At 39.1% G+C, this 22,167-nt stretch overlaps 1 long non-coding RNA gene across 1 annotated transcript in view; it reads left to right on the top strand.

Annotated features, from left to right (window-relative positions):
• Positions 1-22,167, top strand: part of LINC03105 (long intergenic non-protein coding RNA 3105) — a 38,341-nt gene that overhangs the window by 12,875 nt on the left and 3,299 nt on the right. Inside the window, exon 2 of the long non-coding RNA NR_170980.1 lies at positions 19,285-19,449. This is a non-coding gene — a long non-coding RNA (long intergenic non-protein coding RNA 3105). The remainder of the gene's footprint in view (positions 1-19,284; positions 19,450-22,167) is intronic.

The raw sequence follows: 22,167 nt of genomic DNA on the forward strand, positions 1-22,167 counted from the left end.
TTGCCTCATACATTTGTTATTTTTGTGGTGAGAACATTCAAAAGCTTCTTCTCTAGCTATTTTTTTATATCTTTATATATTAACTTTTTTTAGAGACAGGATCTTGCTCTAACACACAGATTGGAGTGCAGTGGTGCAATCCTAGCTCACTGTAACCTCAAACAATCTTCTAACCTCAGCTTCCCAATTAGCTGAGACTACAGGAACCTGCCTCCATGCCTGGATAATGTTTTAATTTTTCATAGAGACAGGGTCACACTATGTTGTCCAGGCTCATCTTGAACTTCTGACATCAAGTGATTCTCCTACCTCATTCTCCCAAAATGTATGGATGGCAGGAATGTGCCACCACAACTGGTCTCTTTTAGCTATTTTGTAATTTGAGATAACTTTTCATTAATTATTATTATTCTGCTGTGTAACAAAAAACAAAAACTTATTTCTCCTATCTAATTGTAACACAATACTTTTGAAGCTGCCTTTTCCCATCTCCCTGCTTCAGTCTCTGGGAACCCCTGTTGTACTCTTTGCTTATATCAACCCTTTTTTTCAGGTTCCTCAAATGAGTGAGATAATAAGATCATAAAGTATTTGTGTTTCTCTATGTGGCTTATTTTACTTAACATGGTATGCTCAAGGTTCATCCATGCTCTTTTAACTGACAGAATTTTATCCTTTCTTATAGCTGAATAGTATTTCACTGTGCATATATAGTACATTTTCCTTATCCATTTATCTGTTGCTGTACATTTGAATTGATTCCATATATAAGCTATTATAACTAGTTCTGTAACTAACATGGAAATGCAAATATCTTTTTGACACAGTGATATCCTTTCTTTTGTATATACATGCAGGAGTAAAATTGCTGGATCATGTAATACATCTATTTTTAATTTCTTTCAGAAACCTCCATAGTATTTTCTATAGTGGCCATACTAATTTACAATTCCACCAACAATGTATACATTCACTCATTTTATATCCTCATTAGTACTTGTTTTATTTATTTATTTATTTTTATTATAGCCATTCTAAATGGGAGTGAGGCGGTACCTCATTGTGGTTTGGATTTTCATTTCCTTAGTGATTAGTAATGTAGAACATATTTTTATGTTCCAGTTAGCCATTTTTGTATCACTTTTTGACAAACATCTATTAAGATCTTTTGCATTTTTTTAATTAGATTATAAGTGTATTTTATTTTGAGATTTTAAAGTTTCTTATTTATTCTGAATATTAGCCTTTTGTCATATGTATAGCCTGAAAGCATTTTCTTTTATTGCCTAAGCTGTCTCTTCAATCTTTTAGTTTTTTTAATATGGAAAAGCATTTTAGTTTGACATAATGTTGTTTGCTTATTTTTGATTTTGTTGCCTATGTTTTGACATGTTATTTTAATAATCCTTTCCCCGTCGAATGTTATAAAGCATTTTTTAGTTTTTCTCTAATAGTTTCATAATTGATAGCATTACATTTAAGTCTTTAGTTTGAATTGATTTTCATATATGGCAAGGCACAGGGGTCTAGTATAATTTTTCTGAATTTAAATATTTAAATGGCCCTGCATCATTTATTGAAGAAATTAGCTTTTCCCTAAAGTGTGTTCTTGGCAATTTTGTTGACAATCAGTTGGCTTTAGGTGCATAAACTAACTTCTGGGCTTCTTGGGCACATTAGTCTATGTGTTTGTTTTTATGCCAGTACAGTGCTCTTTTGGTTACTATAGCTTTGTAGCAAGTTTTGAAGTTTGATAAAGTGATGCCTTTAGCTTTGCTTATTTTGCTCAAAGTTATTTGTCTATTCAGAGTTTTTTGTGGATCCACATAAATTTAAAATATTTTTTCTATTTCTGTGAAAAAATGTCATTGATATTTTGATAAAAATATTACCTCCCACAGGGTCCCTCCCAGGACATGTGGGGATTATTACAATTTAAGATGAGATTTGATTGGGGACACAGAGCCAAACCCTGTCAATTACTTAAATCCAGGAGTTCGACACTACCCCGGGCAATATTGTGACAAGCTATTGGTAAAAAATATTTTCACAGATTACTCAGGCATTGTGGAATGTTCCTGTAGTCTCAGGAAGTTGGAGGCTGACGTAAGATTATTCCTTGAGTTCCCCAGGAACTTGAGGCTGCATTGAGCTATAATCATCGTATTGTATTCCTGTCTGGGTGAGAGAGTAAGACCTCTTTTTAGAATTTCAAATTTATTTTAGATTTAGGAGGTACCTACACAGGTTTTTTACATGGGTATTTTGTATAATGCTGAGGTTTGAAGTATGAGTAATTCCATCAATCAGGTAGTGAGCATAGTACTAAGTAGACAGTTTTTCAGTTCTTGGTCCCTCCCTCTCTCCACCCTCTAAGAGTTGTCTATTATTTTTGTTTTTCTGTCCATGTGTACCCAGTGTTAATTTCCATTTATAAGTGAGAATATGCAGTATTTTCATTTTCCATTTCTGCATTAATTTGCTTTGTATAATGGCCTTTAGTTGTGTTAACGTTGCTGCAAAGGAGGTTTTTTTTGTTTGTTTTTGCTAAGTAGTATTGCTGTACATGTGACACTTTTTAAATTCAATTTACCATCAATAGGCTGGACATGGTGGCTGATGCCTGTAATCCCAGTGCTGTGGGAGGCCAAGGCGGGTGGATCATGAGGTCAGGAGATCGAGACCATCCTGGACAACGTAATGAAACCCCGTATGTACTGGAAATACAAAAGTTAGCCAGGCTTGGTGGCATGCGCCTATAGTCCCAGCTACTCGGGTGGCTGAGGAAGGAGAATTGCTTGAACCTGGGAGGTGGAGATTGTAGTGAGCTGAGATCGTGCCACTGCACTCCAGCCTGGGCAACAGAGTGAGACGTCATCTCAAAAAAATAAAAAATTACCATGAATAGGCACGTAGGTTGATTCAGGTCCTTCCTCTTATGAATAGTGTAGTGATGAACCAACAAGTGCATGTGCTATTTTGGTAGAATAGTTTATTCTCTTTTGGGTATATACCCAGCGGTGAAATTGCTGGGTTGAATCACAGTTTAACTCTCAGTTATTTGGAAAATCTCCAAGCTGTTCTCCACAGTGGCTGAACTAATTTACATTCCTATTAACAGTGTATAAGTGGTTTTTTCCCTCTAAAACCCCATCAACATCTATTATCATTTTACTTTTTAACAAAAACCATTCTAACTGGTGTACAATGGTGTCTTATTGTGGTTTTTATTTACATTTCCTTGATGGTTAGTGATGATAAGCTTTTTTCATGTTATTTGGCCACTTGTATGTGTTCTTTTGAAGAGTGTCTGTTATTGCCCACTTTTTCATGGGGTAATTTTTTCCTTGTGAATTCTTTAAGTTTCTTATAGATTCTGAGTATTAGATTTTGTCAGGTTCATAGGTTATGAATATTTTTGCCATTCTGCTAGCTTTGGGGTAAGTTAGTTTTTATTTTTCTAGTTTCTCTAAGTGTGATGTTAAATTGTTAGTTTGAGATCATTCTAACTTCTTGATGCAGGTATTTAGCACTCTCAACTTTCCTCTTAACAGAGCTCTTCCTACAACCCAGACATTTTGTTATATTGTGTCTCTTCTATTTCAAAATCTTTTTAATTTTCTGCCTTAATTTTTTTGTTTATCCAAAATTCATTCAGGAGCAAGTTGTTTAATTTCAATATCATTCTGTGATTTTGTGAGATTTTCTTGGTATTGATTTTTATCTTTGTTCCATTGTGGCCTGTCATATTCTGTGAGCAGATGAGAAGAATTTACTTTCTTTAGATGATGTGTTGCATATACTATAAATGTCTATTAGTTTCAATTGATCAAGTGTCGAATCAAACTCCAGAATTTCTTTGTTAAGTTTCTGCCTAGATAATCTGTCAAACACTTAGTGGGGAGTTGCATTCCCCTACTATTATTGTGTGTCTACTTGAGGCTTATTGTAGTTCTAGCAGTAATTGTTGTATAACTCTATGTTCCCCAAAGTTGGGTGCATCTACATTTACGATAGTTAAGTCTTCTTGTTGAATTGAACCCTTTATCGTTACGCAATACCTTTCTTTGTTTTATTTTACTATTAATGATTTAAAGCTATTTTTTCTTAAAAGAGAAACAATTCCAGGTATGGTAGCTTGTGCCAGCACTTTCAGACTGAAGCAGTCGGATTGCCTGAGACCAGGAGTTTGAGACCAGCCGAGGCAACACAGCAACATACTGTTTGTACAAATTTTTTTAAAGAAACTATACAGGAGGGGTAATGTGCACAACTGTGGTCATATTTACTCAGGAGACATAGGTGGCATGACTGCTTGACTTCCGAAATTTGAGGTTACAGTGAGCTGTGATTCCACCAGTGTACTCTGTCCCAGGAGATAAAGTAAGATCCTCTGCATAAAATGAAAAAGTAAAGAAAAATAAAAAGATTTTAAGTTAAAAAAATAATTCCTAGATCTCCACTTCTTTAGGTTCACTTGAATATATATTTTTCTCCTTTGATTAGGTTATATTTCCTGGTTGCTTTTACTTACTGTAGTTTTGTTAAGGTTTTGATCAATTAAGAAACCACTACCTATTTTATCCTTTATGAAAGAGCTTTATACATGGGAAAATTGACAACATTCAGCCACAGTAGTCATACTGGGAGCTTCTCCAATCTGTTGTCAAAATGTGTCTTCTTTGGACTACTGTATGTATTTTCTTGTTAATAAGGTTTACCTCTGTTTCCTCTTAGGAGCCTTTAGTCTCTTCCCTTCGTCACTGTTGTAGGCACTACAGTCTCTGTTGTTGTAAGAAGCATTTATCTTTATTCTCAGTTGACCCAAGCTGTCATTTAAACTCAGTCTCTATTCTCATCAACACTAAATGTTAAAGGAAGCAATTTCCAGTCTTTAGATAACCCCGGTATAACTCAGTAAGTCAGAAGTTTGCATACGCATTTCACTCTTTTTTCTTTCCCAAAGGAGAATCATGGAATGGACAGATTTTTATCTAACTGCGCTGTTCTGTAGTGCACAAATGTGACCAAATTTTCTTCTAAATGTGGTTATGGTTGGCTTTTTTCTCATGTGGGGTGCTACAAACTCAACTGGCTTTGTTCGCCCAATTGTAGTTAAGTTCATATGTCAATGGAGAGAAACAGGATCTCAGGTTCTGCTTCAACTGTCATTGTCTTCTCAGCTGACCTCATTTTGTACATTAGATTTATAAAATATATTTACTTTAATCTCATCACCGAATTTTTAAAAAAATTATTATTTTTCAGCTCTTTTAGCAATATATCCAATCAAGACCCAGAGAAAACAGTACATAGAAGCTTCTTTTCAAAAAGTAATATTGGGAAGATATGGGAGCTCTGGCCTTGAACTTTTACACTTAGGAGAGTGGGAAATTGAAGGATAAGTGTAAACGGCACAAAGTATGCTATGATGAATATACCAGATACACAGCAATTACCTACAGCAAAAATGTCACTGCTAGAAGAGCTCAAAACCATAAAGTATTTTGGAAAAAGCATAATTAATGTTGATTCTTTTTTCTGAACTATATATTTATATAATTACATACCAATAACAATTTTTGAAACATATCATGTTTTTGAAACAAAATTTAGAAAATCGCAATAGTGGCCTAGGCCAGGAATATTTCTTCTAATGCTATCCCTCCCATAGTCCCCCACTTCCCGACAGGCTCCAGTGTGTGATGTTCCCCTTCCTGTGTCCGTGTGTTCTCTTTGTTTAACTCCCTATTATGAGTGAGAACATGCGATGTTAGCTTTTCTACTCTTGTGTTAGTTTGCTGAGAATGGTGGTTTCCAGCTTCATCCATGTCCCTGCAAAGGACATGAACTCATCCTTTTTATGACTGCATCGTATTCCATGATGTGGACATGCCAAGTTTTCTTTATTCAGTCTATCATTGATGGTCATTTGGTTTGTTTCAAAGTTTTTGCTCTTGTGAACAGTGCCATAATAAACATACGTATGCATGTATCTTTATAATAGAATAATTTATAATCCTTTGGGTATATACCCAGTAATGTGATTGCTGGGTCAAATGGTATTTCTCATTGTGGATCCTTGAGGAATCACCACACTGTCTTCCACACTGGTTGAACTAATTTACACTCTCACCAACAGTGTATAAGTCTTCCTATTTTTCCACATCCTTTGTTGTTTCCTGATTTTTTTAATGATCACCATTCTAACAGGTGTGGGATGGTTTCTCATTGTGTTTTTGATTTGCATGTGTCTAATAACCAGTGATGATGTCCTTTTCTTCATTTGTTTATTGGCTGCATAAATGTCTCCTTTTGAGAAGTGTCTGTTCAAATCCTTTGCCCATTTTCGATGTTGTTGTTTCTTTTTTTCTTGTAAATTTGTTTAAGTTCTTTGTAGATTCTACATATCAGCCCATTGTCAGACGGATAGATTGCAGAAATTTTCTCCCATTCTTTAGGTTGCCTGTTCACTCTGATATAGTTTTTTTTGTTGTGCAGAAGCTCTTTAGTTTAATTATATCTCGTTTGTCAATTTTGGCTTTTGTTGCCATTGTTTTTGGTGTTGTAGTCATGAAGTCTTTGCCCATGCCTATGTCCTGAATGGTACTGCCTTGGTTTTCTTCTGGGGTTTTTATGGTTTTAAGTCTTATGTTTAAGTCTTTAATCCATCTTCAGTTATGTTTTGTATAACGAGTAAGGAAGAAGTCCAGTTTCAGTTTTTTGCATATGGCTAGCTAGTTTTCCAACACCATTTATTAAATAGGGAATCCTTTCCCCATTACTTGTTTTTGTCAGGTTCATCAAAGATCAGATGATTCTAGATGTTGAGTGTTATTTCTGAGGCCTCTGTTCTGTTCCATTTGTCAATATATCTGTTTTGGTACGAGTACCATCCTGTCTTGGTTACTGTGGCCTTTTAGTATAGTTTGAAGACAGCTAGCATGATGCCTCCACCTTTGTTCTTTTTGCTTAGTATTGTCTTGTCTATGCAAGACCTTTTTTGATTCCATATGAAATTTGAAGTAGTTTTTTTTCTAATTCTGTGAAGAAAGTCAATGGGAGCTTGATGGGGATAGCAATGAATTTATAAATTACTTTGGGCAATATGGCCATTTTCATAATATTGATTCTTCCTATCCATGAGCATGGATTGTTTTCGTTTGTTTGTGTCCTCTTTCATTTCCTTGAGCAGTGGTTTGTAGTTCTCCTTGAAGTGGTCCTTTACATCATTTTTAAGTTGGATTCCTAGGTATTTTATTCCCTTTGTAGCAATTGTGAATGAGAGTTAACACATGATTTGGCTCTCTGTTTGCCTATTATTGCGTATAGGAATGCTTGTGATTTTTGAACATTGATTTTGTATCCTGAGACTTTGCTGAAGTTGCTTATCAGTTTAAGGAAATTTTGGGCTGAGATGGTAGGGTTTTCTAGATATACAATCATGTCATCTGCAAACAAAGACAATTTGACTTCTTCTCTTCCTATCTGAATACGCTTTATTTCTTTCTTTCTTTTGCTGATTGCCAGAACTTCCAATACTATAATGAATAGGAGTGGGGAGAAAGGGTGTTCTTGTCTTGTGCAGGTTTTCAAAGGGAATGCTTCCAGTTTTTGCCCATTCAGTATGATATTAGCTGTGCATTTGTCATAAATAACTCTTATTATGTTGAGATAGGTTCCATCAATACATAATTCATTGAGAGTTTTTACCATGAAGAGGTGTGGAATTTTATTGAAGGCCTTTTTTGCATCTATTGAGATAATCATGTGGTTTTTGTCATTAGTTCTGTTTATGTGATGGATTTTATTTATTGATTTGCATATGTTGAACCAGCTTTGTATCCCAGGGATTAAGCTGACTAGATCGTGGTGGATAAGCTTTTTGATGTGCTGCTGGATTCGGTTTGCCAGTATTTTATTGAGGATTTTCGCATCGATATTCATCAGGGATATGGGCCTGAAATTTTCTTTTTCTGGTGTGTCTTTGCCAGGTTTTGGTTTCAGGATGATGCTGGCCACATAAAATGAATTAGGGAGGAGTACCTCTTTTTCTATTGTTTGAAATAATTTCAGAAGGAATGGTACCAGCTCCTCTTTGTACCTTTGGTAGAATTCGGCTGTGAATCCGTCTGGTCCTGGACTTCTTTTTGTTGGTAGGCTACTAATTACTGCCTCAATTTTAGAACTTGTTATTGGCCTATTCAAGGATTCGACTTCCTACTGGTTTGCACTTGGGAGGGTATATGTGTCCAGGAATTTATCCATTTCATCTAGATTTTCTAGTTAATTTGCAAAGAGGTATTTATAATATTCTGTAATGATACTTTTTATTTCTGTGGGATCAACGGTTATATCCCCTTTATCATTTCCTATTGCATGTATTTGATTCTTTTCTTCCTTATTAGTCTGGCTAGAAGTTTATTTATTTTCTTGATCTTTTAAAAAAACCAGCTCCTGGATTCATTGATTTTTTGGACGGGCTTTTTGTGTCTCTATCTCCTTCAGTTCTGCTCTGATCTTAAATCTTGTCTTCTGCTAGTTTTTGAATTTGTTTGCTCTTGCTTCCCTAGTTTTTTTAATTGTGATGTTACGGTGTCGATTTTAGACATTTTTCTGCTTTCTCTTGTGGGGATTTAGTGCTGTAAATTTCCCTTTCAGACTACTTTAGCTGTGTCGTATTTTACTTTTTAAGCCCTCAATCTTCCTTTTTCATCGTGATAGTCTTTACTGTTTTATGTTTATGTAATGTAAAATTGACTACACAATTTTTACAAAGATTTTATGAAAATATTTTATTGAGAATGTACAAACCGTCAGTCAATTAGAGGAGAAGTTACACTGTCATAATAAATAGCCACAAAGCAAAACGCCAAAAGACATCCAAATCAGAATAAAACAAAACATTTTAACAAAAACAAAAAGAACAAACTGGCAACAAATATGTGAAGTTTATATTACAAAGATGCTCACTTATCCACTCTAAAGAGAGCTTTTAGAATTTGATTTAAAATACGGCAAAGACATTATCCCACACTTCACAGAAAAAATAAATTTAAGCAGCTGTTAACACATGAATGTATTATCAAGCTCAGATATAATCAAAATTAAATATTTGACAAGAGATTCTACAGTTTGGGAGAAATAGAAGTGTTTTTTTCTTTTCCCCAGGCCCACAAGTCTAGTTTCTTGTTCTTCTTCACTATAATGGGGTTTGTCATCAGCTCCCCAAAATATGGGAAGCACAGAGCAGGTGGTGGCTGAAGGTGGGGTATCCTGTGAAACCATATTTAAGATCAGAGCCCTTGGTCCATTGTGTTGTAATCAGCTGGCTCAGGAAAGAACACCTGGCTGTCCAGAGCTCTACACCTACTGCACTGGGTGTGAAAGGAGGCCTGAGAACCCATGGGTCCCAAACCCACCCCACTCCAAATTATCATCCAGTATTGAGAACTCTGACACCAAATTCTCACAGAGCATATGTTTATGCAGTTTTACATTTAATTTCTCATTACATTACAATTGGGAAACTGAGGCCCCAGAAGAGGCAGAGACTGGTCCAGATCTCAGGAGGTGGGCAGGCTCCAGAGCATTAGAGAGGGCTCCAGCTTCCTAGGCCTTGGCACCGTCCCACTTATCAGGTTTGTTTTCGAAATTAGAGTCTGTAGCTACACATTCAGGAGCACAGAAAATGAGCAGATTCAGGGTTCTGTTCACATGGGGTCCTCTCCATGTCAGTTTCAAGATAACAGGACTGGGGTTCTGCATCCAGCTCTGAGGGCAACTGGAAGTAAAATGAGCTATGCTCCACCTCAGCCTAATGTAGACAGTGCCTACAGGAAAGCTTGTTTTCTTCCTCATAAATAGGGGTGCCTGAAGTGGGTGACCTTGATGATTTCACATACTCATAAGTGTCTGCCAGCCTGGATTCTTGCTCTGAGACTGCAAAAATGCACCCACTCTGCAGATCCTTCAAATCAGAGGGAGGCATGGCCACTTGAGAGGCATCTTGGGTAGATGAAGATGAGACAGAGTTAAATGTGCCAGAGCACTGGACTCTGAGGCTGAGGTCCACGGAAAATCTCAGCTACTGTTGCGTTCTTAAGGTCCTCATTTGAAAGTGGTAGAAAATAATTTCACTGGATAAGGGGAGGATACCTCATGAGTAAATAGCACAACCAAAAAGGTGGAGGCAAAGAGAGGGCAAAACGGGATTCCTAGTTCACTCATTATACTTGGGGCCTTCAGATCCTGCTACTTTATCCCCTAGGACCTTGAAGAACCAGTGTCTTGAGGACAGAAAAATCAAGGTATCAGATTTGTTCAGTAGTGCTCCTGCTTGGGGCTGTAGGGTTAGTGATGGCCAGGAGGTGGTTACAGCCTACTGTGTTTCTGGTGCCCACTGAGCTTTGCTGGAGCAGCTGGAACAAGTAACAGTCACACACCTCATGTTGTTATCAGTGATGTCCACATTATCAGGTGGTCAAAAGGGGAAGGGATATTAGGGATCCCCCATATAATCACTTAGCCAGTCTTTTTTCCCTTGCGCTCACCATTTGCCAGCGACCCTGGTGGGTCCAACATGTGGTACAGAAAATTATTACTTCATGTCTGCACCCCCCAACCCAGGACCAAACAATCTGAGGACCGCTGGACAAAAGCACTAAAGCAAGTATATGTGAAAGAAAAGAGCAAGGACTATAATATAAAGTAGATTATTGAGAAGAAAACCTGGAAAATTATTGCATGGGAGGACCTCAGGCCTCACTGAGGTGACTTTTAATCCATGATGAGGATGACAGCAGGGAGGCATCTGCACAAGCATGTGTCAGGGAGAAGCCACCCTTAGTGAAAAAACTCATAGGTGTGAGTTTGGCAGAGGTAAAAAGGGACTAGTTTGGCTGCAGACAGCCTGAGAAAGAGATAAGCAGAGGGATGGAGAATCCTAGGGCCTGGGAGATGAGGTTAGATATCTGCTCCTTTCTGACAACATTGCCCTAAAAGTCAGCACTTTTCAACAACATATAATATCTCATAATGTGTGTGGACCAGAATCTGGACACAGCTCAGCTGGCTACCTCTGCCTTCAGGTCTTTTATGAGACTGGGGGCTGTGGTCTTAACTGAAGCTGGACTGGGAAAGCATGAGCCTTTAAGCTGACTCATGTGAAAATTGACAGGGTTTAGTGTGGCTGGAGAGCCTGACTTTCCTTCTCTCTACTCGTCTGAGCACCCTCTCACCCTTTGTTATGTGGGTCTCTACATGGAGCATCTCATAGCATTGGAGCTTGCTTCCTGTGTTTGAGGAATACAATAGACAGAATTAGACAAAAAGGTTTACACAAAAAGAGACAGAAAGATCGAGGGCGCAAACGAGAAAAACCCAGTAGGAGAAAAATTAGAGCTTTAAAAACATCTTGACAGGGTGCGGTGGCTCACACCTGTAATCCCAGCACTTTGGGATGCTGAGACGTGTGGATCGCCTGAGGTCAAGGGTTTGAAACCAACCTGGACAACATGGTGAAACCACCGTCTCTTCTAAAAATACAAAATGAGCTAGATGTGGTGGCGCATGCCTGTAATCCCAGCTACTTGGGAGACTGAGGCAGGAGAATCAATTGAACCTGGGAGGCAAAGGTTCCAATAAGCCGAGATCACACCACTGCACTCCAGCCTGGGATACAAGAGTGAAACTGTGTCTCAAAAAAAAAAAAAAAAAAAAAAAAAAAGAAAGAAAGAAAGAAAGAAAAAAAACTTGAGAGTTACTATAATTTTTCTTCTATATTTGTGTTAAAATTGTAACCCCGGGCGTAATGCTATAAGGAGGTAGAATGTAATTAAACCCTTAGGGTGGGACCCTCATAATACAGATTACTGGCTTTATACAAGAAACCGCAGAGGGCTCTCATCCTCCTGCAAAATGAGGGTAAAACCTGAAGTGTGCAGGCTGAAATTCAGAAGCCAGTCATCACCAGATCTCAACCATGCTGACACCCTGATCTCAAATTTGAACCTCTGGAGGTATGAGAAATTAAGTCCTGTTGTCTATATGCTGCCTATCTATGGTTCTTTGGCATAGCAGCCTGAACTAATACAAAAGTGATATCCTTTTCTGTGTTTCATTGGAGAGAAGCTGAATTTGTACCCCCTATACTGTTAAAAAAAAAGACTTAAAAAATGGATCTTCAGAATGAAAGATAGGAAACGGCTTGTTGAAACACTAAAAATTTAACTGCTATAAGTTTTTTAAACATTGGCTGAAATTGTTGGAACCAATATTGCCAACTGAAGTCCATGAAGCATCACTTTGCAGACTTTGGAGCCCAAATTTCCATTGTGTGCTTCATACTAACTCTCCCTGAATTTGTATGTGACCTGTGAGGAAACAAGAAGAGATGACTGTATATGTCTCATGACTTTCCATATTCCTACTTTCCTTCCAGCAATCCCCTACAGAACCCACCTATTAGGCCTTTTCTAATCACTGCCTTAAAGCCAGTATGACAAAACAAATTTGATTTGAACTCCTATCTCCTTGTTAGCCAACATACAAGATGATATTTTCCTCAAAACCGAAGGGCCATAGTACTGGCATCAGGAAGTATTCCATTTTATTCAATAAAAAACTGAGTCACTCAATACCTAGTACTGGGAGACTTTGTGAAGACTTCCTCTGTCATAGACGTGATAAGGCACATGGATATGATTCTAAATATAAAGAGAAAGCACTAGAAAGTTGAATTCCTGTATTAGATCATTCTCATACTGCAATGATGGAGTACCTGAGACTGGGTAACTTATAAAGTAAAGAAGTTTAATTGACTCACATTTCCACATAATTGTGGGGGCACCTCAGAAACCTTCCAATTACAGTGGCTGACAAGTGAAGTGAGTGAGAGCATGGGATGTACCAGATGCTTATGAAACTATCAGATCTCGTGAGAACTCACTATCACAAGAACAGCATGAGGAGAACCCGTCCCCATAATCCAATCATCTCCCCTCAGGTTTTCCCTTAACACCTAGGGGTTATAATACACAATGAGTTTTGGGTGGGGACGCACAGCTAAACTATATGAATGCCAGAGGACAGTATCTACATTTAATTTCAACTTCATACTGGAGCAGAATGAAAATGAGGCCCAGTGGAGAAGTGATATTTCCAAGATCACCCTGGCAGACACCAGGCCTGTTTGAGTTGTGGCCCATGCTACCTCCCACCTATTCTCCTAATGCTTCCATCTCTAAGTGTATGCATTATCTACAGGTGACACTACATCATTATTTTTATGTCTTATCTTATATACACCTAATACATTCCCTAGGAAGTAGATGTTAGCATCATCACCAGTGTGCATGTTAGGAGGCTGGGGAAGCCTTGAATACAGTGACTTTTACTGGGTCCCAGAGATGGTAAGAAAAACAAGGTTATGTTCCAGCTGTCTCTTCTATCCTGGAACCCAGGTTGCATTTAGGTCTTTCCAGGGAATTAAGGGGAAGTTGTGTTTGCATAATTGTGTACAAATAAAGAGTTGACATGGAAGAGGAGACTGAGCAATCAGTAGCATAGTGGGGCCTTTCGGTATGTCTTACAGAAACATGGGGCCCAGTAGATGGAACCTTGAAGAGTTTAACATACTTTCTTGGTGTCAGAACCCAACAGCAGTTAAGAAACCAGGAATCCACATTCTTGAGACAGCTCTGTATCCACCTCTGTTTGTGAGAGTTGCTCAAGAGAGTGAGATGCTCTTTCATTGTGCCCTGAAATTTCTGAGTTTCAGCCTTACAAAGGCTCAATGTAAAAGTCTTATCTGATAACACAGATGTCAACTGAGCCCTCATCACTGATGTCCCTGGCTTTTGGCCGGGTGCACCTACAAATAACACAGGGCAGCCCAGGACAGGCCCCTCCACGCCAGCCTCTCTTGTCAACTCATCTGGGCAGTCCCACACCACTTCTTAGTACCATGAGTTGGATGGGGAGCAAGAGGGAGGGCACTCTTCTTGGACTGAAGTAGATTGTCGGGTGTTGGAACTCTTGTGTACCTGTCATGTTCATACCTAGGCCATAGCTGGCAGAATAAAAAGAAGAGGGTTGGAGAACGAGTCTGTGTACTCAGATGTGAATTCCAAGACTTTAACTTGTCCTCTGGTTTCCTTCCTTCATGGAGATTTATACAGATTCTCCTTATGTGCCTAATCTGAAGAGAAGAATTTCTTTTATTTTCTTTTTTCTTTTTTCCTTTCTTCTTTTCTTTTTTCCTTTCTTCTTTTCTCTTTTCTTTTCTTTCTCTTTCTTTCTTTCTTCTTTCTTTTTTTTTTCTTTCTCTTTCTTTCTTTCCATCTCTCTCTTTCTTTCTTTCCTTCTCTCTCTCTTTCTTTTTTATTTATCATGAAGTCTCACTCTGTTACCCAGGCTGGAGTGCAGAGAAAAGCAGAATTTCTAATGGAGGTGTCACATACGGTCAAAGCAAGGAAGAACACAGACTTTTCTTTGCGTGGTTTCTAGGCACATTTACAAAGCTGCATTCAGATTGATGAGGAGCTTCATCATTCAGTTTAATGTGGCCAACTCCTCCCTCTTTTTGGAAAAAGAGCAGGTGCACTAAACCAGCAAACACAGCCAGCACTGGGCTGTGCTGAGAGCAGCCACATAGGGGTCTCTACAGACAGAAAGCTGAGAAGACAGGGAAAGAAACAGGACCCAGACTCAAATATGAAAAATCTCTGGGCTTTGTCCTACGGCCTTCCCATGAGTAACTCATAGCCTTGTTCCAGTGGAATCTGGCCTTCACTAGTCTCAGTGGCAAGTTGGTTATGTGGAAAGTCTCTCTTCACACACTTGTGCGAATAACGGTAAAGAATTTTGTATAGTTTTCACTTTACATTAGGCCATGAGTATTTATGCCTGTGGCTGCAGTTTGTGTTAGTTTCCGGCCCCACGTATCTCCTGCAGCATGCAGCTTCAGTCCTATCGGACCCTCAAAACTTAAAAGCTAACACTATTACTAGGGAGGATTTCGCAGGAAAATGGAGAAAGGGTTACACACAAAAAAGGTTAAACTACTCTATGCATGTTTCTGCAATGTGTTATCTCAGGAACTCATTTCTGTAGCCCATCAGGGCAGGAGCTGGGCTCTCACCTGTTGATAATATTCCATAAGGGAGGTTCTTCCCCACAGTGTTTAGTCTCCCGACGCTGGTACAGCCTGACATGATGACATTCTACTTTCATGTCGGTCATGCTGCAGGGAAAATTCTGAGTGTTCTAATAGGCTGGAATCATTTGCTAGGGTGAACCCCATCTTTGGTTCTCACTTTTCTGTTATCTTGTAATTAGCTTTATTCTCAGCAAATCCATGTCTATTTTATTTATCTGTTTATTTACTTATTTTTATGTATGGAAAAACACTTTTTTTTATTTACTTATTTATTTAGAGACAGGTCTCCGTCTGTTACCCAAGCTGGAGTACTGTGGTAGAGTGCTGTGATCATGGCTCATTGCAGCTTCAAACTCTTGGGCTCAAATGATTCTCTCACCTCAGCCTCCTGTGCCACCATGCCCTGCTAGTTGATTTTAATTTTTTATAAAGAAGGAGACTCATTAGGCTGCCCAGGCTGGTCTCAAACTCCTGGGCCCAAGCAATTCTCTCATCTCAGCCTCCCAAAGCACTGGGATTAAAAACATGAGCCACTGTACTGAGCTGTGCCTACTTCAAAAGACTGAAAATAAAAAATCAATAAATCTTTGCCAAATTAAAAAACAAAACAATAGTTTCCAGGTCTTAGACAAAGACAATTCTGTGTCATGAAGAGTGGCAAAAGGCTTATTTAGCTGTTAAAATGATTTGCTTATATTTCAAAGAAGCAGAGAAAAAAAGATACATATAAAAGTTTTCCAGGCCAGGCACGGCTGTTCATGCCTGTAATCCCAACATTTGGGGAGGCCAAGGCAGGAGGATCTCTTGAAGCCAAATGTTTGAGTCCAGTACAGGCAACATGGTGAAATTCTGTCACCATAAAAAAATAAATAAAATAAATATGGCTGGACATGGTGGTTCACGCTTGTAATACCAGCACTTTGGGAGTCGGAGGCAGGTGGATAATGAGGTCAGGGGTTCGAGACCAGCCTGGCCAAAATGGTGAAACCCTTTCTCTCCTAAAAATAATAACAATAAAAAATTAGCCAGGCATGGTGCTGTGCGCCTGTAATGCCAGCTACTCAAAAGGTTGAAGCAAGAGAATTGCTTGAACTTGGGAGGCGGAGGTTGCATTGAGCTAAGATCATGCCACTACACTCTAGCCTGGCCCACAGAGCAAGACACTGTCTTGAAAAAATAAATAAATAAATAAATAAATAAATAAATAAATAAATAAATAAAAAGTTAGCTAGGCCTGGAGGTGCATGCCTATAGTCCTAGGTAATTAAGAGGTTGAGGCAGGAGGACTGCTCAAACCCAAGAAGTTAAGGTTATAGTGAGCTATGATTATGCCATTGCACTTCAGACTAAGCAAAAGAGTAAGATTCCATTTCAAAAAATTACTAAAAAAAGTTCTCTAAATTACATTGTTTAAGAAAAGGGAAAAGAAAAAATATCTTTTTTAATTTTCAAATGGGAGAATAGAGCCTCTCATTTCTAATATGTATTTCCTTCTGCAAAAACATGGTCTAGGCCCATGGTCTTGAACTACTGGACATCTGAATTTTAGTAGGTGCTGGATTCAGGCAACTGAGGGGTGGCTTGGACACACTAAGTGCACGTAAATAAAAGGTTTGAGGTGAACTAAAAGGTAAAAGAGGGGAAGGTGCTATTAAGAACCCACAGTTGGGAGACAGTACAGGGTTGGTGGAAGGACTGGTTCATGCTACAGATACTGACCCAGGTGAAACTTTACTCTGACTTATTTCTGTGTCCATGCAGGAAGACGAGATTATGATCAGGTGGCACAGAAACCTGGGATGGTGAAAAAACCAGGTTGCCCCTGCAGATTCGGTGTCTGAGGTAGAACGTATGCCAGGGGTCTTGTAGGCACATGTGTGGGTTTTTGGTGGGAAAGTCTATGAGGAAAGGTAGCATGGGCAACAATCTTGATGCCAAAGCCTTGTCCTGAGAGGGGCTTGGCCACATCAACATGCAGTGTGTATGTTCAGTGGGTGAAAAACCTGTGGTGGCCTCAGGTTGGCAGGAGGGTAGAAGGCATCTGTTCTCAGAACTTCTTCCCTCAGAGTCGTCGGTCCTTCTTACCATGGGAGAATGCCTGGAACCACAGGGCAGTGCATGGTGTAGCAGCCTGTGTGCAGAGCAGAGCCTACCTTCCCCGAGACACCTGGAGTCTCTCTCCAGCAGAGGCCCCCACATTGTCTTTCTCCTTACAACACTTTTGATCCTAAATGTGTAAAGTTCCCTGAAAACCCACTGCTTCTCCAACACCCATTTGTTGCCCCAAAATTTAATTCTGACACAACTTAGAGTTCACACAGATCCCAGAAATTCAGGGCTCAGTCCCACATCACCCCTCTCACTGTAGAGGAGAGTTACACATCCCTGAAGCCCATCTACACTTCTGAGCTACCTCCTATAAATCTGAGACTAGCATAAACCCCTTTTCAAGTTAAATAATTTGATAGAATTACTAAAAAGAAAACCTCAACAAATAACTGTAATTATATTTACTACTTTATTATAAAAATATAACTCAGAAACAGCCAAATGGAAGAGATGTCTAGGGCAAGGAACAGTTGTGGGTGAAGGCAATCCTGGAAATAGCTATATTTAAAGAAATTCCCCCATTCTTTGCATTCTCAAAGAACAGCTTAGTGAAGAGAAACGTGCTTCCCCTGATGACTTTGAGGATGCTCCCTGCTGTTTTTTTAACCTATCACAAAAATGGACACAGATTGCAAATTCCCATTTTTAAAAATGAACAACCATTCAGTAATTTAGTCTTCAGTGGTCCAAATAACATACTCTTAAAGAAACTTTGCTTGTTTCTCTTCTTCCAACCAGCCCCTGAACTTTGACTCACCCACAGCTTCAGCAAACCTACAACCCTTATTTATACATACCCCTCCTAAGAACAGGCTGAGTTCAAGGTGAAACATTATCTTATCTGGGATCGCATTTTGCTACCCTCCATCGTGTGCTTCCTTTCCAACCTTCTTTGTAAACTTGTTTTCTCCTCCCTATGAAATAAGGCCCTTTTCCACCTAACCTTAGAGATACTCAAAGATCTAATCATTTGTACTTTTTCTTTGTTGCAATACTTCTTAGGTAACTTCTTAGACCAAGTCTAGAAACAGTCTGAGGACAATAACAATTCCATTCTAAAAAGAATCTCCCAACATTTCTTCTATCTCAACCTCAACTGCATCTGCCTGTGAACTTCCAGCTTACCAAGGCTCTATATCTTCTGGCAGTGACAAAGGCTCCTTCCATGGTTGGTGTGAGTAGGCTTGGACACCTGCAGGGCAGACACCCAGGAATAATCAACTGGGCCTTCAGTGGTCCTCTTTTGCAGGGTCAAGGTGGGCCTTAGCTTTTAGTCAATGGTCTAAGACTTCTATTTACCAGTTAGTCATTCAGTTAGTTTTCAATTCAAAAAATACTTCATGTTTGAAGAATCCAGCAAAAATTATTCAAATCTAAGATATAAAAGAGAGGAAATTACAGCCGGGCATGGTGACTCATGCCTGTAATCCCTACATTTTGGGAGGCCTAGGCGGGCAGATGACCTGAGATCAGGAGTTTGAGACCAGCCTGACCAACATGAAGAAACCCCGTCTCTGCTAAAAATACAAAATTATCCAGGTGTGGTGTTGTATGCCTGTAATCCCAGCTACTCGGGAGGCCGAGGCAGGAGAATCGCTTGAACCCAGGAGTTGGAGGTTACAGTGAGCAGATGTCTTGCCATTGCACTCCAGCCTGGGCAAGAAGAGTGAAACTACATCTAAAAAATAACAGAATAAAATAAAATAAAAACATTATAAGGGGCTTATATCTTATAATTCATCAAGAAAAGCCAAAGTATCTATCCCTTTCAGAAAATAAACATGTAATTTAATTATGTTCAAAACAAATCATTTAGTAAACAATTAATCATATGTGAACACTTCCAGGAGGTGCAAAGTCCCAGCTCCTAAAACTTAACATTACCCTCAAACACCCAGATGGCAGCATATGGAATAGAGTTATTCACTTTCACAAGTTCTCTCTTTTGAAAAAAAGAATAACTTATGTGATAAATTTATGTAATTTGACAATTAATCTACCTCATGTGCTTGCAGATATGTATTCATTTCCTACCACCGTAGTGGAAGAGAGATTTTCCCTATCTTTACAACTGATAGCATTTCCAACAGTAAGCTGTGAGATTCTGCTTGAAATCACCTCTCAAACAAATAAAAAACAGACCTGGGAGACATGCTACACTCATTCTGCTGAGGAAATAGGTAAGTAACAATTTTTAACAAATGAAATACATTACTACTTAATTTTATTCAAAATTCACCAACTTAATGTGCTTTATAAATATTCTCATACCTTTGAAGCTCTACTGATAAAACATAATTTACAGTTAATGAAAAAGTGAAGTTAAAATAAATACAATCATATTTTCAAGGTGACAAAATTAGAAGGTGACAATGGTGATTGAAACACAGACATATCTGACCCAAGGGTCAAGTCAAGCCGTTCTATTACTTGGGATATTTTCCCTGCTTCTATCTGGTTCAGTGATGTGGGTCATGAGCGTCCTACCAGGAGCTGCTACGCTCTGCTCCACTGTGTCTGTGAGGTGCATTTTACTTTGCAGGTTTTTGCACTGCCTCACTAGGTTGGGTTTCTTTGTCCTTTGAAATATTTTCTCTCCCTTCACCAATCTGAGGACATTTTTTCCTCACTATTCAGCATCCAGTTGCCTGGCATGCAATGTGTCTCTAAGGAATGGAAACTAAGCGTTGGGGTAAGAAATTCTTAATGTCCTAAAGGGTTTGCTTTTAGCGCAAATGTATACGTGGAGATTCCTTCCAGGTATAGTGCATCCAACCACTCCAAAAAGAGGCTGCATTCCCATACCTTGGGCTGTTCCCTGAGAGGAGATGACACAAGGGATGTTATTTACTAGACACTTCAAGAGTCATGGCCAGTGTTGGTATCTTGGGGATTCTCAAACAGTTTTGAAACCCAAAACCAAGAAAATAACACAAGATGGCTGAGGATGTATTGCCCTGTGAGGTTTCTGAAATGAAACCTCAACCCAAAAACATTCTGATGGGGTGTCTGTGCCAAGGGAAGATTAAAGAAAGGGGCACAAATATTTTCTTTTCTTTTCTTTTCTTTTTTTTTACTGTGGATTGTCAGGGGATTATTATCTGCTTTCATGTCCTGTAAAATGTTTACAAATGAAAAATATTTTTTTAAGTGTCATCCACTGCTTTTTGAAAAAATGCAGAATTAAAATACTGTGTCTAAAATGTACAATAAAGAACAGTTGATAATGTTGTGAGTTACACAAGGTTAGTTAGTGTTGGTAAGTGTCAGGAAAGAACTGGAAATTTAAACTCTGACAGCAAGCCAGAGTTAGGCTGGGGTAACAGGGTGGTAGATTTGAGGCTCTTCTTGCCACACATTTGGAAAATGCATGAGAAAACTAATTCTCTTTTGGAGCATTAAAACAACTAAAAAACAGGCAATTGCGTTGAGGTGGCTCTAGTGTCCTGAGCTCTGAGTAGAGAGACAGGCAAAGGCATCCCTAGATCCAAAAAGCTGCCCATTCTTCTCCAGCTGTGCACCTGATTAGATAATTTCCACTCCAGCACCCATGATTGGATATAGTTCAATTCCCCACCAAGCCCCCTCAGGCCATGAGTGACATATGTGATTTGACACTGGATTGAATAAAGCAAGAATTATAAGTTTTTCCTGGATCCTTTTCTGGCAGGGCTTCCTTCATGCACTGGACACTGGCCCTGCCTGTAAAATACTTGCATTTTCATTTGTGTGTAAGATTATTTGTATTTATGAAAAATATATATGTGTTATTCATACATGGAAGCAATATAATGACAATTGTTTTAAAATTTCAGATGTTTTACTTTCCTGGCACATCCAGGTTTTAGAGCAGGCAGCCTGAGATTTCAAAAATGAGGCAATTCTCTAAGAAATAATATGTGAGGCACATGTGAATTTTAAATATTCTAGTAGCTACATTTTAATAAATACACCAGGCATGGTTGCCTGTTCGTGTAGGTTGAACTGTTTGGGAGACTGATGTGGGAGGATCATTTGAGGCAAGGAGTTTGAGACTAGCCCAGGCAGCATAGAGAAAGCCATCTCAACAACAACAACAACAAAATTGAAAAATTAGCCATGCCTGGTGTATGCCTTCAGTCCCAGCTACTCAGAAGGCTGGAGCTGGAGGATCACCTGAGCCTGGGAGGTCAAGGCTGCAGTGAGCCATGATCACACCACTGCACTCCAGCCTCACTGACAGAACAAAACTCTGACTCAAAAAACTGATCTCTGGAAAGGCATTTTCTTTTTCTGCAACGTAGCCAAATAGCTAAATTTGTATTGAAGCCATCCTTTAATTTTTAACAGGGCAAGAATATTTTCTAAGACCCCGAACTCCAGATATGCGATGGGGCAAATCCTGAAGCGTACATGGCTATCTCTCACAGCTAAAGCACCCCTCACCCCTATCCAGCGCTTCTTACCCCTGGCGCAAGAGAGTCACCTGCGGGGAGGAAAACTATCAAAATCCCTTAAACCCAAGTTGTAACCGCACAACTAAATCAGAATCCTTGGAGCTGGATCTGAAAAAAATACGGTTGAAAGTTGTGCAGGTGATTACAATGTGTAGGCAAGCCAGAAAACCATGGCTTTAACGAGCAGCTTTTGTTAGAAATGATTTCTCAAATGAATGTAAAAACGTTTGCTGCTGAATTGTGACCTTTCAATTTTACCTGCTTTTCCTGCAAAGTATATTTTGCAGACCCAGGCTGGCTTGTCCTTCTGTTCATGGTTCACCCAGTGCCGTGTGTGCTCAGTGCATCCTGTGCACGGGTCACTGTGCTGTGTGCGCTGGCCGGGGTGAGCATCATTCTTCGGGGAGAACCTTTCTGAAAACAAAGCTGCAATCCAAAAAGTTAAAACCATGCTACTTACTG

Source organism: Homo sapiens, chromosome 21 (assembly GCF_000001405.40).
Source record: "Homo sapiens chromosome 21, GRCh38.p14 Primary Assembly".
NCBI classification, from domain to species: Eukaryota; Metazoa; Chordata; class Mammalia; order Primates; family Hominidae; genus Homo; species Homo sapiens.